This window comes from Homo sapiens, chromosome 4 (genome assembly GCF_000001405.40).
Source record: "Homo sapiens chromosome 4, GRCh38.p14 Primary Assembly".
NCBI classification, from domain to species: Eukaryota; Metazoa; Chordata; class Mammalia; order Primates; family Hominidae; genus Homo; species Homo sapiens.
This window is the reverse complement of record NC_000004.12, coordinates 82518648-82536439: the sequence shown is the minus strand read 5'-3', so window position 1 is coordinate 82536439 and position 17792 is coordinate 82518648. Positions and strand designations below refer to the sequence as shown.

The window sequence follows — 17792 nt, the reverse complement described above, 5'->3', positions numbered from 1 at the left end:
AGGTGGGTCATTTTTTCCCCGTTTAAAAATTGATGTTCCCAGCACGTTTATTAAATAATTCTTTTTTTTTTTTTTTTTTTTTTGAGATGGAGTCTCGCTCTGTTGCCAGGCTGGAGTGCAGTGGTGCTATCTCAGCTCACGGCAACCTCCGCCTCCCGGGTTCAAGCGATTCTCCTGCCTCAGCCTGCTGAGTAGCTGGGACTACAGGTGCATGACACCAGGACCAGCTTATTTTTGTGTTTTTAGTAGAGATGGGGTATCACCATGTTGGCCAGATGGTCTCGATCTCTTGACTTCGTGATCCACCTGCCTTGGCCTCCCAAAGTGCTAGGATTACAGGTATGAGCCACCACGCCCATCCTAAATAATTGTTATATTCCTCACTGATTGCTTTAAAGCAGTTGTTTTCAACCAGAGGTGATTTTTGCCCCTCCCCACAACACTCCCAACCCGGCCTGGGACATTTGACAATGTCAGGAGATATTTTTGGTTGTTGCAGCAGGGAGGGGGGTGCTACATACATCTAACGTGTAGAGGCAGGTATGGTGCTAAACACCTTAGGATGCACAAGTCAGCCCCCACAACAAGGGATTATTCAGCTAAAATGTTAATAGTGCCTCTGCTGAGAAACCCTATTTTAAAAATTAACTTACACTAGCAACCTTCCCCATATTAGATATTCTTTAATGCATAAACTACTGCTGCTACCCAGTCTAGAACCTACTACAAAGAGTTGCTCATATGAGAAACAACTCAATCCCAGGTCAATGGCTACATTTCCTTGGGTGTTCCCTTTTTTCTTCCAACTTGAAGGCCCTTTTAGTTGTTTTATTACATATTTATACATATGGGCCACACATCCTGACTGGGAATTGCATGGTTTCTCCTTGTCACTGTACCTCTGAGGTGTACCTGTGGCTTCCCCACCTGAATTGCTTCTATACCATTGCTACAGTTTGAATCTCCCCTCCAAATCTCATGCCAAAACTTAATTGCCATTGTGATTGTATTGAAAGGTAGGACCTTTAAGAATGATCAGGTCTTGACAGCTTCACCCTAATAAATGGATTAATGCTGCTATTGAGAGAGTGGGTTAGTTGTCATGGAAGTTCAGCCCTGTTTTTCTCCATCTTGTGCTTGCCCTTCCCCACCATTTGACACCTTCTGCCATATTCTTTCCCTGCAAGAAAGCCCTCACAAGATGCAACCCCTTGATCATGGACTTCCCAGCCTCCAGGACTATGAGCCAAATCAACTCCTATTCTTTATAAATTACCCAGTTTGTGGTATGCTGTTATAGCAACAGAAAATGGACTAAGACAACCATGTAGCATCAGATTCATCCAAACAAACCCTCCAAACTGGGTGAAAAAGATGCAGCAGTTCTCTGGTGTATGCAAGAATTGACACAGAAACAATTTTACTTCTGTTGTAACTTAATGTAGGAGTCTGTCTTGGTGCTGTTTATTCAGTTCTGTTGATTTGTTTGCTGGGTTTTTTACAAAACCACATTATTTTTATTACTAAAGTTTATGATATACTTTCTTTAAATACTTTGTGTTTAAGTGTATTATACACTTTAACATATGTTAGGCCAGCCCCCTTCATGGCTCTCATTCTAGGTGAAGTTGGGATGTTCATGGAATTTTATGAAACCTACATAAAGCTGTGGTTTCTAAATTTTAATGTGTATTACAATCACTTGGGGAGCATGTTAAGAAGACAAGTTTCTTGAAAACTTACCCTCCCTCTGCTCCAATTCTATAAGATGGGCATCTGTAAACCAGGAATCTGCATTCTAATCAGCATCTGAGGTGATGTTTGAGGCAGTAATCCTTGGACCCCATTTAGAGATACGCTGCTGTAAAGTAATCTGCACAGAATTGATAACTCTTTACTGTCTCTCCATTTATTTGGGATGTCTTTTTATCTTTTAGCAAAGTTTTCCCTTTATATGTTACATCTTGCACATTGTAAATGGCTTCTTTTTTCTATTATATCTTCTAATTATTTTTGCAAGTACACAGAAAAGCTGTTGATTTTTAGATATTTATGTTGTATTCAGCCACTTTGCTAAGCTCTATTGTTAAATGTAATAGTTTTTCAGTTAACTCTTTTGCAGGGGTGAGGTGAGGGGCTTGGTTGGTAAATAAGCCTATCACCTGGAAACAAATTATTTTTGCCTCCTCCTTTACAGAATTATACTTGTTATTTCTAGCTGTTCACATTGTCCGAAGCTTCCAGAACATTGCAAAATAAACGTTGCAAAATAAACACTAATAGAACCCACCCTTAATTTGTTCCCATAACAACCCTGTAAGTTGGTGGCCTACTCTTTCTTTATATTCTAAGTTTTATTTTCTAGAATAGCAATTTCTTACCAACTGTGAGAGACTTTGTTCTCAAATGTAGCTTGTCTGGCAGAACTCCAGTTACCAAAACCAAGATTTCAAAGGGGATTAGGGATCGCACCAACTTTGGTTTTGGATCTGTAACTAAATTCAGTAATGTGAAAGTTCTAGATGGTAACCTCTTCTAAAACAAACCAGATTTGTTAGTATTGAAACCTGGACTGATAGGTAACTTTTTTCCTGATTTACATTCTTTCATTGTGCGGATAACATTTCTGCGGCTTTATATTTTATTGAGAGGCTGATGCTTTGAACTTGGTCTTCCTTATTTGTTTCTACAAATCTAGCTTAACTACTCCTTAAACTATGGTCATTGAAAAAATTATCAAAGTACTTACTGGCATGTTTGAGAAAGCTGCCTGACAATCCATATATTGAAAAGATGGAGTTAAAAGAGATCTTTCTGCAGTACCAATTGATAAAACTGGTTACGAGATCTAAGGACAGTAATAATTGATGTCTTTTTTGTTTGTCTGTTTAAGACATAAACGGTAGATATGTAAAAAAATTGATAAATAACTGTAAAACTGCATCAGCTCAAAACTGTGAGAGTTGATATATTTTGTTCAGAAATAAAATTGGCTTGTAGTTTTCTTTTTTTGGAGATATGCTTATCAGTTTTTGGCATCAGAAATAGCCTATAAAAAAGTTTGAGTAGCTTTCCATAATTTTCCATATTTGAGCATAATTGATTTAGCATTAAAATTAGCTTTTCTCTAAAAGTTTGCAACTGTTAAAGGATAGTTGTCAGAAAAAGATAAATTCATGGCTCTCATACAAATATATAAATGAATGCGTTACTTTATGGTACACGTTAATTAGTGAGGGAATCAGGCAGATGTTATAGTTATAACCAGTTAAAAAGAGAATTCAGAAAGTGGACACATCTATGGACCAACAACATTGATTCATAAATATTGAAATAAATGTGCAAATGGAAGCAAAACTCATTGTTTTGTGGCAGTGTGGGAGAAAGAATAGTCAATTAAACGTTTACTTGAGGCCGGGCGCAGTGGCTCACACCTGTAATCCTAGCACTTTGGGAGGCCAAGGCAGGCGGATCACGAGGTCAGGAGATCGAGACCATCCTGGCTAACACAGTGAAACCCTGTCTGTACTAAAAATACAAAAAATTAGCCGGGCGTGGTGGTAGGCACCTGTAGTCCTAGCTACTCGGGAGGCTGAGACAGGAGAATGGCGTGAACCCAGGAGGTGGAGCTTGCAGTGAGCGGAGATCGTGCCACTGCACTCCAGCCTGGGCTGCAGAGTGAGACTCTGTCTCAAAAAAAAAAAAAAAAGTTTACTTGACAGAACAGAATTTGCATGTCTATAGACAAGAATTATTTTGCCTTGCTGTAACCTATAACTTAAAGTTCTATGTATATACAATTATAGATGTATGTATATACATACATATATACACACACATACCCCCATCAGTACATATATATATTATAGATACTTTATAACGCTACTTTGCATATCTTTCTTAAGACACTTGATATTTTAATTTTCTAGAAGCAGCTCTAGGATTTCTTCATGTTAATTTTGCTGTCTTAAAAAGCTCATTGATTGTCGCTTTTACTTTGTTATTGTCACCCTCGTGGTTTCCTTATATGTTTCTTTCTAAATTCATGAAGAGGGTGCATCTTTTTCTCTTCCTTCCCTCCTTTCTGTCTCTACTATAATGAAAATATCTAAGACCACCAATTTATCCCTGAATATAGCCTGGGCTGCATCTTCCTACATATTTGACAAATCCAGAAATATTTGCATTTCAATTTGCATTCTCACCAGCATTGTCATTTTGATTAAAAGTTTGCTAACTTGATAAGCAAACATGTTATCTTGTCTTATTCATACTCTCTTTTCAGCTCTTATTATCAGCCTATACAAATGCTCAGTACTAATGTGCTGTTTTACTGTAGCTCTCTCAAAAAACAAAATCTTTCTTTGATCCTGACTGTTCTTTGAACTATTGCTCCATCTGTTTGTTTACAGCCAAAGTTCCTCCCATCCCTTTCTCAACTTAATTATAACCTGGTTTCTGACCCTGTGCCCTACTAAAACCTTTCATGCCAATGTCACCAGTGACCTCTGAATTGCTAAATCCAGCAGACTCCTCTCAGTGCTAGTCCTGGTTGAACTCTAAGGACATTTGACATTGTTGACCACCTCTTTGTCTTGCACCTTTCTTTCCTTGGCTTTCATGACAACATTCTTTCCTCATTTTCCTCTATTTCCATGACCTTTTTTTTTTTTTTTTTTTTTTTTGAGACAGAGTCTTGCTCTGTTGCCCAGGCTGGAGTGCAATGGTGCAATCTCGGCTCACTACAACCTCCACCTCCCGGGTTCAAGCACTTCTCCTGCCTCAGCCTCCCACGTACCTGGGATTACAGGTGTGTGCCACTACGCCCAGCTAATTTTTTGTATTTTAATATAGATGAGGTTTCGCCATGTTGGCCAGGCTGGTCTTGAACTCCTGACCTCAGGTGATCCACCCACCTTGGCCTCCCAGTGTTGGGATTACAGGTGTGAGCCACCATGCCTGGCCCTTCTATGACCACTTTTTCAGCCTCCATTCCTCCATTGCCCCCTAAACATGAGTGTTCTCCTTGGCTCCATCCTTTCTTCCCATTCTACATAGTCCACCTGGGTTATTGCAACAGTGACCTTGACTTGAATCAGCACCTCTATGCAGCTGACTTCCAAACCTGTCTTTAACCTCTTCTGAACTACAGGTTATATTTCTATCCTCGTACTTCTCTCCTAAATGTCTCGAAGGCATCTCAGTGCAGCTCATCCAGACGGGTTTCTTCAGGCACCTTATTTTTCTTCTTGCTATTCCTGTCTTAGTTACTAGATCTTTACTCCTTACTAAGTCTCCATCTTTGCTGCTTTTTATTTTGCTGTATCTGCCTTGCCTTGGCTCCATTTGCCATTGATATGGTTTGGATCTGTGTCGCCACCCAAATCTCATGTCAAAATGTAATCCCCAGTGTTGGAGGTGAGGCCTGGTGGGAGGTGATTGGATGATGGGGGTTGTTTCTAATGGTTTAGCACCATCTCCCTAGTGCTGTCTCAGGATAGAGTTATCATGAGATCTGGTTATTTAAAAGTGTGTGTTACCTCCCCATTCACTCTCTCTTGCTCCGGCCATGTAAGACGTGCTTGCTTCCCCTTCGCCTTCCACCATAATGGTAAGTTTCCTGAGGCCTCTCCAGAAGCTACTATGCTTCCTGTACAGCCTGCAGAACTGTGAGCCAATAAAACCTCTTTTCTTTATAAATTACTCAGCCTCTGGTATTTCTTTATAGCAGTGTGAGAATGGATTCATAACAGCCATCTACCTTTTATGCCATTGTATATTGGCTGCTGATCACTCTGTGGAGACAAACTTAGGAATTCCAGGCCAATTTAGGCCTTCAGTGTGGAACAGGATGTGGTTTTTTTGTTTGTTTTGTTTTGTTTTGAGACAGAGTCTCGCTTTGTCATCCAGGCTGGAGTGCGGTGGCGCGATCTTGGCTCACTGCAAGCTCCACCTCCCGGGTTCACACCATTCTCCTGCCTCAGCCTCCCGAGTAACTGGGACTACAGGCACCCGCCACCACACCCGGCTAATTTTTTGTATTTTTAGTAGAGACGGGGTTTCACTGTGTTAGCCAGGATGGTCTCGATCTCCTAACCTCGTGATCCACCCGCCTCTGCCTCCCAAAGTGCTGGGATTACAGGCTTGAGCCACCGTGCCTGGCCCCTGAACAGGATGGTTTTTATAAGTCTGTTCACCCTCCTCACACCTCAGGGATTACTCCAAACTCATATCTCTTCACTCCCCTGTATCTCCCACTACCTTCTCTCTCTCTTGTTTCTTCCATCCCTCCTTTGCCCTCCCTCTGACTCCATCTCTCTCACTCTCTCTCTCTAGAGAGAGAGAGAGAGAGAGATTGAAAGAGAGCAAAAGGCATGATCCAAGCCTTTCACTTTCCTGTGTCTCAGCCCTCCCCTCCTGGGCTGAGGGCCCGTCCTCTGAATTCTCCTGCAGCACATGGAGCCCTACACATTCCCTCCCTCTTTCCATACTTTCAGCCTCTACTTCTTTCCTATTAACCATAAAATATGCTCAATTCTCTATTTTTTGAAAAGCAGATTTCTCTCTTAATTTTTAGGTAGGTTTCCCTTTACTCATGCCTGCACATCTTTCCTTTCTTTCACAGCCAAGCTTCTCTTGAAAGTAACCCACATTTACTTTCTCTACTTCCCCACCTCCCTTTCATCTTACATCATTGCAGTGGGAAGTCTGTCTCCACAGTCCTGCTGAAACTGCTCTGATAAAGGCCATCACTGATCGACTCACTAGCCAATCCCTTGACCTCTCTCCAGCCCTCACCTGTGGCATTTGAGACAGTTGACCACTCCTTGACCTTCATAACAAAACTCTTACAGGTGGGCATAGTGGCTCATACCTGTAATCCCAGCACTTGGGGAGGCCAAGGCAGGAGAATCGCTTGAGCCCAGGAATTTGAGTCAGCCTGGGCAACATAGTGAGATCCCATCTCTAGAAAATGTCAAAAAAATTAGTCAAGCATGGCACATATGCCTTTGGTCCCAGCTACTTGGGAGGCTGAGATGGGAGGATTGCTTGAGCCCAGGAAGTCGAGGCTGGAGTGAGCTGTGATTGTGCTACTGCACTCCAGCCTGGGCAACAGAGCAAGACTCTGTCTCAAAAAAAAAGAAAAAGGAAGGAAGGAAGGAAGGGAGGGAGGGAGAGAGGGAGGGAGGGAGGGAGGGAAAGAAACAAAAAACAACTCTCTTGTGCTTCTGCTGTTTCTCTGATCGTTCCCATTCCCCTTCCTTGGCAGCATCCCCTTTGTCCTCCCACTGCTGGTGCTTCTCTGTCTTTGGCTCTCCTGTGCTCTGTGCTCTCCTCCCCTGCCTTCCCGCTGGCTCCTCTCTCCCTTCACACACTCTCCGTGTGTGCTGACTGCCCCCTGCTTTCATGTTCCCTCTATTACCACTCTGTGTAGACTCCCAAATCAACACGTCCAGCCTGACCACTTACCTGAACTTGAGACCCTGGTTGTCTCCTGCCTTCTGTACATCTCCACTTTTGTGCCTCAAAGACACCATAAAACTTGATGCATCCAAGACAGTAGGTAAAGAGGACAAGGATACTTTGGGAGGCCGAGGCGGGCAGATCACGAGGTCAGGAGTTCAAGACCAGCCTGGCCAATATGGTGAAACCCCGTCTTTACTAAAAATACAAAAATTGGCTAGGCTTGGTGCACACCTGTAGTCCCAGCTACCCAGGAGGCTTAGGTAGGAGAATCACTTGAACCCAGGAGGCAGAGGTTGCAGTGAGCCAAGATTGCACCACTGCACTCCAGCCTCGGTGACAGAGACTCCATCTAAAAAAAAAAAAAAAAGGGACGAGGAAAAGTAACTAGAAATAGTAAGAGAGAGAGGAGAATGAGAGAGGGGGCTGTGGGCAGGGGAAATTAATTTCCAATGAATTTTTATGCATATCTCCATTTGCCTCTGCTCTGTTTGGAACACGTGCCATCTTCATCCCCACCTTTTTTCACTAGAGCTGTGGTTCTCAAAGTGTGGTCCCCAGGCCAGGAGCACATCAGCATCACCTGGGAACTTGTAGCAATACAAATTCTCAGGTTTCACCTGGGGCCTACTGAGCCAGAACTTCAGAGGTGGGGCCCAGCAATTTCTGTTGCAATAGCCCGTGCAGGTGATTTTGATGCCTGCTGAAGTTCGAGAGCCCCTGCACTGGTGAATGACTCATTCTTCATGGCCCAGCATCAGTGCTGCTTCACCTGCAGAGCCTTCCCTGGTCCTGTCAGTTAGAACTAATGACTTTCTCCTCCATGTTCCTGTAGTACTTTATTCATGCCAATTATATAGCATTTATTCTATCATAGTTAGCTCTTTAAGAATCCTCCTCCCCCATAGATTATGAGGTCTAAGGTTAATATTAATCTTTGTATTTCTAGCACTGGCCTAGTGCCTGTGCAAAGTGGACATATATTACATTATCACAAATTACTTTTATTTTTCCTGCTCCTTGCCTTTTCTTCTTCCTTTCTTCTTTGCTTGAACCTGACTTCGGGATATGAATAAATTACCAGAATGAGACCTTACCAATGAAAGGTAATGTTTTCATTGGATTCAAGCTTTCAACCCGTTTATATCTATCTATCTGTGTCAGGGTTCAAAGAGAAGCAAAACCATGATGTATACACACACAGTTTACAGGGATTTGAGCTTACTTAATTGTAGAGCTGGTTAAACTGTGTGAAGCTGTTTTCTTCACTTCTGATGCTGGAGTTAGAAGTCCACTGGGCAGAGAGTTAGGAAGGGACAGATCCATGGGAAGAAGGCATGGAGGGAGAGCACAGGGAAGCAACCTACCACAAGCTCAACTAGAACTCATGAGCATCAACCCGGACCCACAAGGACTCTGGAACCCGGTCAGCCCTCGTCAGCCTTGATGGTGTGAGTGTCCTGCAGAAAGAGGGTACCTTTCGTCGTGGAGCTAAACACACTCCTGACCCAGCAGTCAGAGAAGCCCAAGAAGCATCTAGAGGAAGGGGGAGCAGTGGCAGGCCCAGCAGATGCCCCACACCAAGTAGGGGAGCCACAGAAAAACAAGTACGTGTGCGAGCTGTGAAAGCACCTGCCCTGATCCTCGGAACATAAGAACAGAGTGGCTCTGAACATCTAAAATTATTCCAAAATAAAATGGGAGCATTTTTGTAAATGGCTGCTGCTTCACTTTCACCTCCAAATTACGTGTGAAAATGTCTCTTGTGTCCATTCTCACCGGAAACACACAGGTAAGGAAACTCTGGGAAACACAGATCAGGTGAGCCAAGGTGACACAGTACAAAGCCACCACAATATCTACATGACTGAAGCTGAAATACCTGAGGTTTACTCTGTGAAGTAAAATAGGAGATATGGGCAATTATTTGCCAAAAAAAAAAAAAAAAAAAAAAAAGACCCAGTATGATCTGGGTGGTGAGGGAAACCTTTCCTAGATTGGCTGACAGTGGAATCGGTTCTGGAAAGATGGGTAAGAATTACACGGGGAAGACATGCCAGGGGAGACAAAATCATGATTCTTAACCGAAGACCCTCGGTCACCAGTGAAAGGCATAATTACGCTCAGTATGTAGTCTTTACTGAGGTAGGATAGACTTCAGAAAGACTATCAGTAAAGATCGAAAGCGAGGCCATCTAGTTTTAATTAATTAGAAGACCATCTAAGCATTATAATTAATTGAGAGGTTTTTGTAAGTGGTGAGTGTCATAAAGCATAATAAAGTTTAGTTGTAGTGACAATAGCCCAGGAGTTTGGATTCAACCACTTACTAGCTGTGTGACCCTGAGCAAGATATTAAACCTCTGTAGGCCTTTATATTTTCATTTGTAAGTTGGCAGTAAAAATAGTCTCCACCTTACAGAGCTGCTGTAAGGGATTAATAAGAGAATCCATGTAAAGTACTAGGCAGAATGTTAGGCACAGGGCGTATTAACTGCTGCCAATATCCTGTCATCATCATTATTATTGTTGTTGTTATTATTTCCCAAGGAAATACTTTTTTAGGCAGGGTGATTCCAAAGGCCAAATGATATGTTTGACCATTCAAAGTACCTGGCCAATTGAGCAGATAGGATCTAGCACTGACTGCCAGAAGAAATGTGTTCTACTTGTTCTTATTGCTTCCTTGGATTCAAATATAGTTGTCCTTATCTCCTCATCCACAACCCCAAAATGTTTTTCTGTACTTTCCTATCAAAGTTTTTTATCTTGGGTGAGAGCAGTGGCTCACACCTATGATCCCAGCACTTTGGGAGGCCAAGGTGGGAGGATTGCTTGAGCCTAGGAGTTTGAGACCAGCCTGGGCTAAATGGTAAAACCCTGTCTCTACTAAAAATATAAAAATTAGCCAGGTGTGGTGGAGTACACCTGTAGTCCCAGCTATTATGGAGGCTGAGGTGGGAGGATCACATGAGCCCAGGAGGTGGAGGCTGCTGTGAGCCATGATCATGCCACTGCAGTCCAGCCTGAGTGACAGAGCAAAACACTGCCTGAAAAGCAAAAACCAAAACAAAAGAAAATGTTTTTTTTTTTCTTTTGCCTAAGAAATGGGCTTTGCAGCCTTTCTCCACTACCTGCTTTTATCAGGCCTTGGGCAAGGACGGTTTTACAACCCAGGGAGCAAACCACAGCCACCCTGCCCACTCATGAGGCTGTGTGCATGTGATCATATGGCCTCCCTGTGGCAGAATTTAGGGACTTGTCTTGTGGGGGCTCAGAAAAACAGACTAATGTCCATCCACAGCCGTGGGTGTCATTTCGTAACCATATTCAAAGCTGTTAAGCATTTTTCTGCCAGAGAGAAAGGGCTGGATATCTTTTCATCTTTGTTAAACAATGAAAAACAAAGAATGGAATGTTATCTTTTAATTAAAGAGCTATTCTATCCCCCTTTCTTTATCCTGAATATTGAGTTTTCATAAATCTTTATCTCCTGTAAATCTTCAGTCTCATCCCTCCCACCTCCCATCGTTAATTAGATTTTCTGGTTTGTAGCCACTTGAAGTGGAGAAGAATCACTGAACTAGACTTTGGAAACAATACAGTTCTGGTTTTATTACTCAGTTTCAGCATGGATCAGATTCTCAGAATGTACTTTCATTTACATATCTGTCTTTTATAACAAAATCTACAGATCCTATCAATGCAACAATTTTTTTCTCCTTTACCAAGCCCCAACTGACTTTATTCCAAACACGCAAATTCACTAGCAGAGTACATTTTAAAGTTTCTATTCATTGAAAGGTGTGTACTGCCGGCCCTGTCTCAGCTGCGTTTGCAAGAATGAAATGCCTCAAGTGTTCTTTGTATGGTCACCTCCTACCTCCAAAATATTTCTTGAATTCATTGATTTCACAATGCTTGATTCAGTATACCTGTGTCTCTCTGAGAACATTGCAATAGGTTCCTGCTCCCCCAGTACTATAGCCATGCTGTAATCCTCCTCATCGGTAAAAATCCTTCTCATTTAGTTTGTAATCACACCGTGTTTCTGTGCCTTTGTTTGAGCGGTCCCTTACCCAGGATGCCTGTCTAGCTTTATCTACTTGGTGAATTCCTTCCAGACCATCTTAATGTCACCTCCTCTATTCATCAGTCCCAGCTTCCTCAGGTGGGATTATGTTTGCCTTACTCTGGGCTTTGTAGGACTTGTTTGCATTATCAAAGTTGCTACATTTGCATTCGTGATTACGTAATTGTGTCTGTCTCCTCCTCTAGATGCCTTCAGGTTAGAGTCTGCCTTTTTCATAATTGTACCTTCCTACTACCCAACAGAATACCTGACCCAGGGAAGGCACTGGGTAAATACTTGTCAAGTGAATGAAAATCTCCTTTTTCAGTGGTTATATAAATAAGAAGGAAAGACATCATAAAGACAATTACTTGAGTAATTTTCTGCAGAGACTAAAGAAAGCTGCAAGTAATTTGTTTGCGATTTAAAAGAAGTGGGTAGATTAAAAGAAATTCACAGCTAAATAATGAAACGTGGGGGTCCCAAGACACATGTCTCTCTTTTTAGAAATGTCTACCTAAATGTACAATGAATGTTTTTGGAAAAAGAAAAAACAGATTTTTTTTTCAACACAAAAATCAAAAAATAAAATACTTATGAAATAAACTTAGATTCTGTAACCTAATTTTGAATTATGGTCATGTTTTAGTTGCTGTGTTGTTTTTGTTTTGTTTTTCGCGTGATCTCGGCTCACTGCAAGCTCCGCCCCCCGGGTTCACGCCATTCTCCTGCCTCAGCCTTCCGAGTAGCTGGGACCACAGGCACCCACCACCACGCCCTGCTAACCTTTTTTTTTTTTTTGTATTTTTAGTAGAGACGGGGTTTCACCGTGTTAGCCAGGATGGTCTCAATCTCCTGACCTCGTGATCTGCCCTTCTTGGCCTCCCAAAGTTGTTGTGTTTTAATAAAGTAGGTTATTTGAGGCCAGGTGTAGTGGCTCACACCTGTAATCCCAACATTTTGGGAGACGGAGGTGGGCGGATCACCTGAGGTCAGGAGTTCAAGACCAGCCTGGCCAACATGGTGAAACCCCCCCCATCTCCACTAAAAATACAAAAATTAGCCAGGTGTGGCGGCAGGCGCCTATAATCCCAACTACTCAGGAGACTCAGGCAGGAGAATCACTTGAACCCAGGAGGTGAAGGTTGCAGTGAGCTGAGATCACGTCACTGTACTCCAGCCTGAGTTATTTAAAAAAAAAAAAAAGTTATTTGTGTTGTAGGAGTTATTAAGAAATTATTTTAGGCAAATAGAGAGGGAAAGGGGTCTTTGGGAAGTTTTCATTTTTTAAAGCATTTCCGGAAAGTTTCTTGTAAGGCCCCACCAGGCCGGCAAACTTTGATATACAAATGCAGGCCATTAGAAACTGGGTCCACCCAAAATGGCGATTCCTGCAGCCTTCTCGCCCTTGCCTCACATGTTCCTGGCAACATGGCCACCCCCACATATCCCCACGTGTGTAGAACATCATGGCAATGCATTTGCATATTAAAAGGCTGGGATGAGAGGGCCAGCTTTCTCGCAGGGCTACGTAAGTGACATGCCTAGTCAAACCAATCCCCTGAGCCCTATGCAAATCAAACACCGCCTCCTCCAACCTCTGTATATACACCTGACTGGTATCCATGACAGGTGGGGACCTCCTCTTTTGGTTTTGGAGCACCCCCCCGCCCCCATCCCTCTGGCTGTGTACGGGGGAGCCTCTTCCTTCTGCCTTTCTCTTTTCTTTCCGGCCTATTAAACTCCTTAAAACCACTCCTCATGTGTCCGTGTCATTTTATCTAAACTGGCATGAGGACAAAGAACCCTGGTGTTCCTCCACTCATCAAAGCTGTATCATTTGGACCCTACCCTCTGACAAAGATTCTTCATGTGACTAAACTTTGGTCAGGGCTCCTGAACCTTCTACTGGGCCCACCTGTGAATGCCTTGTAAAATCCCGTTTTAGCAAAAAAACCCCAGCCTTCAATACCTGATCATTCTCCATGTCGGGTTTCTATTCTCCACCATCCCCCAGGTGACATCTGATCACCCTGGTGTCTTTGGCAAGAATCCCGTTAGGTTGGTTTAGCCAGAATCCCCTCTTACCCCTTATATTTCCTCTTAGTAATTTTCTGTCCACAGCCCCCCACCCAGCTCCTTGGCTATAGATTCCCACTTGCTCATGCTGTATTTGGAATTGAGCTCAATCTCTCTTCCTAACTGCAAATCACATTGCAGATGTCCCCGTACCTGTCTCCATGGTCCTGAAGAAAGTCAGCCTTACTGCGCTTTAACAGGTGTCATTAAATAGTTTTTTCTGTAACATCTCTCTTTCCTTTCATTCCTTTATCATTATGCAGAAGCTGAAGACCATACACCGTGCTATCTGATGCCTCTCAGGGAAGTACAAATTTTGATTTCATGCATTAAGATGCTGAACTTCCTTTGTACCCAAATAAACCTGCAAGCATCTCTTTTCCTTTGTAATTTTATCATTTAACTCAGCAGGGAATAAAATTGCCAGGGCTACTGCCTGCTAGCTGATTGCCAGAATGTGTTCTGTGGCGTGTTATTGGAGCTTACTCCCATCTTGTCAAAGCCATTTCAAAAGTATCCAGTGTTTTCGTCTCTCTACATTGTTTCACTTTGGTCGCTTGTGGATTTTGGTGAGATAACCAGGACTGGCCACACTCAATCTTACCATTTCAGACCAGAGGACTCCCAAGGCAGGGAGCTGTGGTTAGAATATGGGGGTGGTAGTTCTTCCTGTAGCCTCCTAACCTGTTTCTACCTCCCATGTTTTTATGGTTTTGGAGAATACCATAAACAAAGAGCAAACAAAGAGTAAATTTTTTTTTTGAATAAAGTTCTCGCTCTGTTGTCCAGGCTGGAGTACAGTGGTGCAGTAATGGCTCACTGCAGCCTCGACCTCCCAGGTTCAAGCGATTCTCCCACCTCAACCTCCCAAAATGCTGGTATTACAGGTGTGAGCCACTGCATCCAGCCCAAAGAGCAAATTTCATCCTCTAAGCACCACCTTCACTTTATCACTAATAAGTCAGTGCTGCCCATTGCCCAAGCATGGCCTCCTTCAGTCCCCCTCCTGAGCGTTCTGTCCTGGCCCCACACAGTCTGACTGTGGATGCCTCTCCAACCTCACCTCCCACGTCACATCTCAATCAGTTACCCTGTGTGTCATCCCCTCTGCATCACCGAGTCTTCTCCACAAACATTTTGCATTTCCTTTTCACCAAGATACTCTTGCTGATAGCCTTCCATTCCCTTTCAGCATCTTACAATTCTGTTTACTACCCAAGGCCCAGCTTGAATGCTACCTTCTCCATGGACCCTGTTCTAATCCCCATGGTCAGAATTAATCACTCGTACTGTGTGGATGTAAGAATTCATCTTCTATGTGTGTATGGCAATTTTCAGGCTGTTCCGCATGCTGTAGTTATTTGTTTACATTTCTGTTCCCTTAGCCAAGGCTTCTGCTTTTGTTTTGCTTTTTTCAATCTTATATTTCCCATTTGGTAGCACAGTGCCTTTCATTTATTCTTCACCAGATACTTATTGAACACTGCTATGGGTGAGGTCTTGTTTTAGAGACTGGGGAAAAACAAGGAGCAAAAGGTAAAAATCCCTACCCTCGTGGAGCTTGCAATTAGTGGAAGAAGAAAGTCTGGGATTAAAATAGATAAAATGTAATATTAGGTGCTATGGAGAAAAATATAGCAGGGTGACATAGGAAATTCTAGGGGTTAGGGGATTTTCAATGGGATGCTCAGGGAAGGCCTCACCAAGAAGGTACCATTTTTGCCAAGACTTGTGGTGAGGGAGCAGCCATGTGCCTTTCTGGCGGGACAGGGGACAGTACACCATATGTGTGGCCTGTGCAGGGAGGTGTCTGATGCGTTCAAGTAATGCAAGGAGACTGGAATGGCTGGAGCCAGGGGTGAGTAGTGCGTAAAGTCAGAGAGGAAGGGACGGTTGCTCTGAGGTAGGGGCTTAGCCAGTTTTTGTGTGTGTTTTGTTTGTTTATTTTTAGAGACAGGGTCTCACTTTGTCACCCAGGCTGGAATGCAGTGGTATGACCATAGTGCTTATTGTATCCTCAGTTTCCTGGGCTCAAGGCTCTGCCTTCTGAGTAACTAGGACTACAGGCACCTGCCACTACACCTGGCTAATTTTTTAATTTTTTTGTACACATGGAGGCTTGCTATGTTGCCTAGGTTGGTGTTGAACTCTTGCCTCCAACAATGCACCCACCTCCGTGCTGGTATAACAGGCGTGAACTACCATGCCCAGCCTTAGTAGGGTATTGAGCTAAAGGATGACATGATCTGATCAGTGCTGTCATAGTATTTCCCTGGCTGCTGTAGCAAGGAGTGGTTCAGTTTGAACTCTTATTTTGGCTCAGGATTTTGGGCACATTGAATGTGGGGTGTGGGAGAAATTGAGGTGTCTAAGACGATCTCAAGGCTTTCGGCCTGAGAAAGAGGAAGGATGGGGAGCCACCATTCATGGAGCAAGGCAGACTGCGGACAAAGCAAGTTTGGGGAGCAAGACTGGGAGGACACTGTGGGTGCTGACATAGAAAGGTGTCCACACTGAGATGTCCACATTGCATGGTTAAGTAAAAAATTTCACACTTTCACATATGTGGGGGAGAACCTGGGAGGATGTATATTGAACCATTAACAGTTAACTGTTTCAGGCATGGCACTACTGGGCATTTTTACTTTCCAATTATGAATTGCATGTCTATATAATTCACAAGTCCAGATAATGTAAAGGTAACAAAAATGCCTAAGACCAGTCTGCCCAGGTCCACTGTCTAAGCCCTCAGTGTGACAGGTTTCTTTCATCATTCACTAGATGGTGCACAAACTGCAGAACACCTCACAATGACAAATTTATAAGACTGTTTTCTAAACCAGAATGGAAATGTACAGTAGACTCCTTTATCAGCGGTTTCACTTTCCACAGTTTCAGTTACTCATAGTCGACTGAGGTCCAAAAATATTAAGATATTTTGAAATAGATGGGGAGGAGCACATTCACATAGCTTTTATTACAGCATATTATTATAGTTGTTCTATTTTTTTATTTTATTATTAGTTGTTACTCTCTTACTCTGCCTAATTTATAAATTAAACTTTATCTTATGCATGTATGTATAGAAAAAACATCGTGGCCAGGCTTGGTGGCTCATGCCTGTAATCCCAGCACTTTGGGAGGCCGAGGCGGGTGGATCACTTGAGGTTAGGAGTTCGAGACCAGCCTGGCCAACATGGTAAAACCCCATCTCTACTAAAATTACAAAAATTAGCTGGGCGTGGTCACACGTGCCTGTGATCCCAGCTACTTGGGGAGGCTGAGGCAGGAGAATCACTTGATCCTGGGAGGCAGGAGTTGCAGTGAGCCGAGATCTTGGCCACTGCACTCTATCCTGGGCAACAGAGTGAGACTCCATCTAAAAAAAAAGAAAGAAAGAAAGAAAGAAAGAAAAAGAAAGAGAAAGAACATCGTATATATAGAGTTTGTTACTATCTGAGATTTCAGGCATCTCTTGGGGGTCATGGAATGTGTGTGTCCTTTGTGGATAAGGGGGTACTACAGCATTCACCATGGGGCTAAAGCAACAATAGTTGTTTGCTTAGGAAAATCCTTTCTGGTGAGTAACTCTGTTCAGAAAACCATGTTGTAGGCCAAAAGGTGACATGATAAATGTAGATTTACAACAAAAGAAGTGAGGATATTTCTGTCGAGCAGGTTTGGCAGATTGCTGTTCTTTACTGTCAGGTTGCCTCTTTCCAGAAGACTAACACTCGTCCTCCAAATCAAAGCAGTTTGCTCCCCCATACGACACTGTTCAGACACACTGAGAATGCTAATGGTTCAACTTCTTCAGTCAATGAATATGCCCTTAATTCACCCCAGGCGAGGAACAAGTCAAGATATTGGGGGGAGTATAACTGATTTGAGAATCCAAATAATATGCTATAAATAGTTATCTAAGGAAGAGAACAGGCTATCTAATAACTGATGAGCTACTTCTAAAAGAAGAATATTCTCTCAGTCCATTTTTTTGTACTCTACCAAGTACCGTAGAGCTGCTTTAAAGGTGAATTAGTCAGGTTCCAATCCTGGGAAGGAAGTTGTGCAGGCAGGTGGCAAGTCCTGAAAGGTACAACAGTGCCCATTGTCTAGAAACTGGGCAGCCAAACCCCAGTAGGGAGGAGCCTGCTGGTCTAGGAATGGTAAAGGGAAC

The 17792-nt window shown here is 43.0% G+C and overlaps 1 protein-coding gene across 3 annotated transcripts in view, besides 1 other annotated feature; it reads left to right on the top strand.

The window, feature by feature from the left end:
• TMEM150C (transmembrane protein 150C) overlaps positions 1 to 17792 on the top strand; it is a 79078-nt gene that overhangs the window by 25814 nt on the left and 35472 nt on the right. The window lies entirely within an intron of this gene.
• Positions 4250 to 4544: an enhancer, noted in NCBI's record as "tiled region #10449; HepG2 Activating DNase matched - State 5:Enh". NCBI's record gives its function as "activates a minimal TATA promoter and a strong SV40 promoter by Sharpr-MPRA in HepG2 cells {active_cell/tissue: HepG2}" and the evidence as "EXISTENCE:reporter gene assay evidence [ECO:0000049][PMID:27701403]".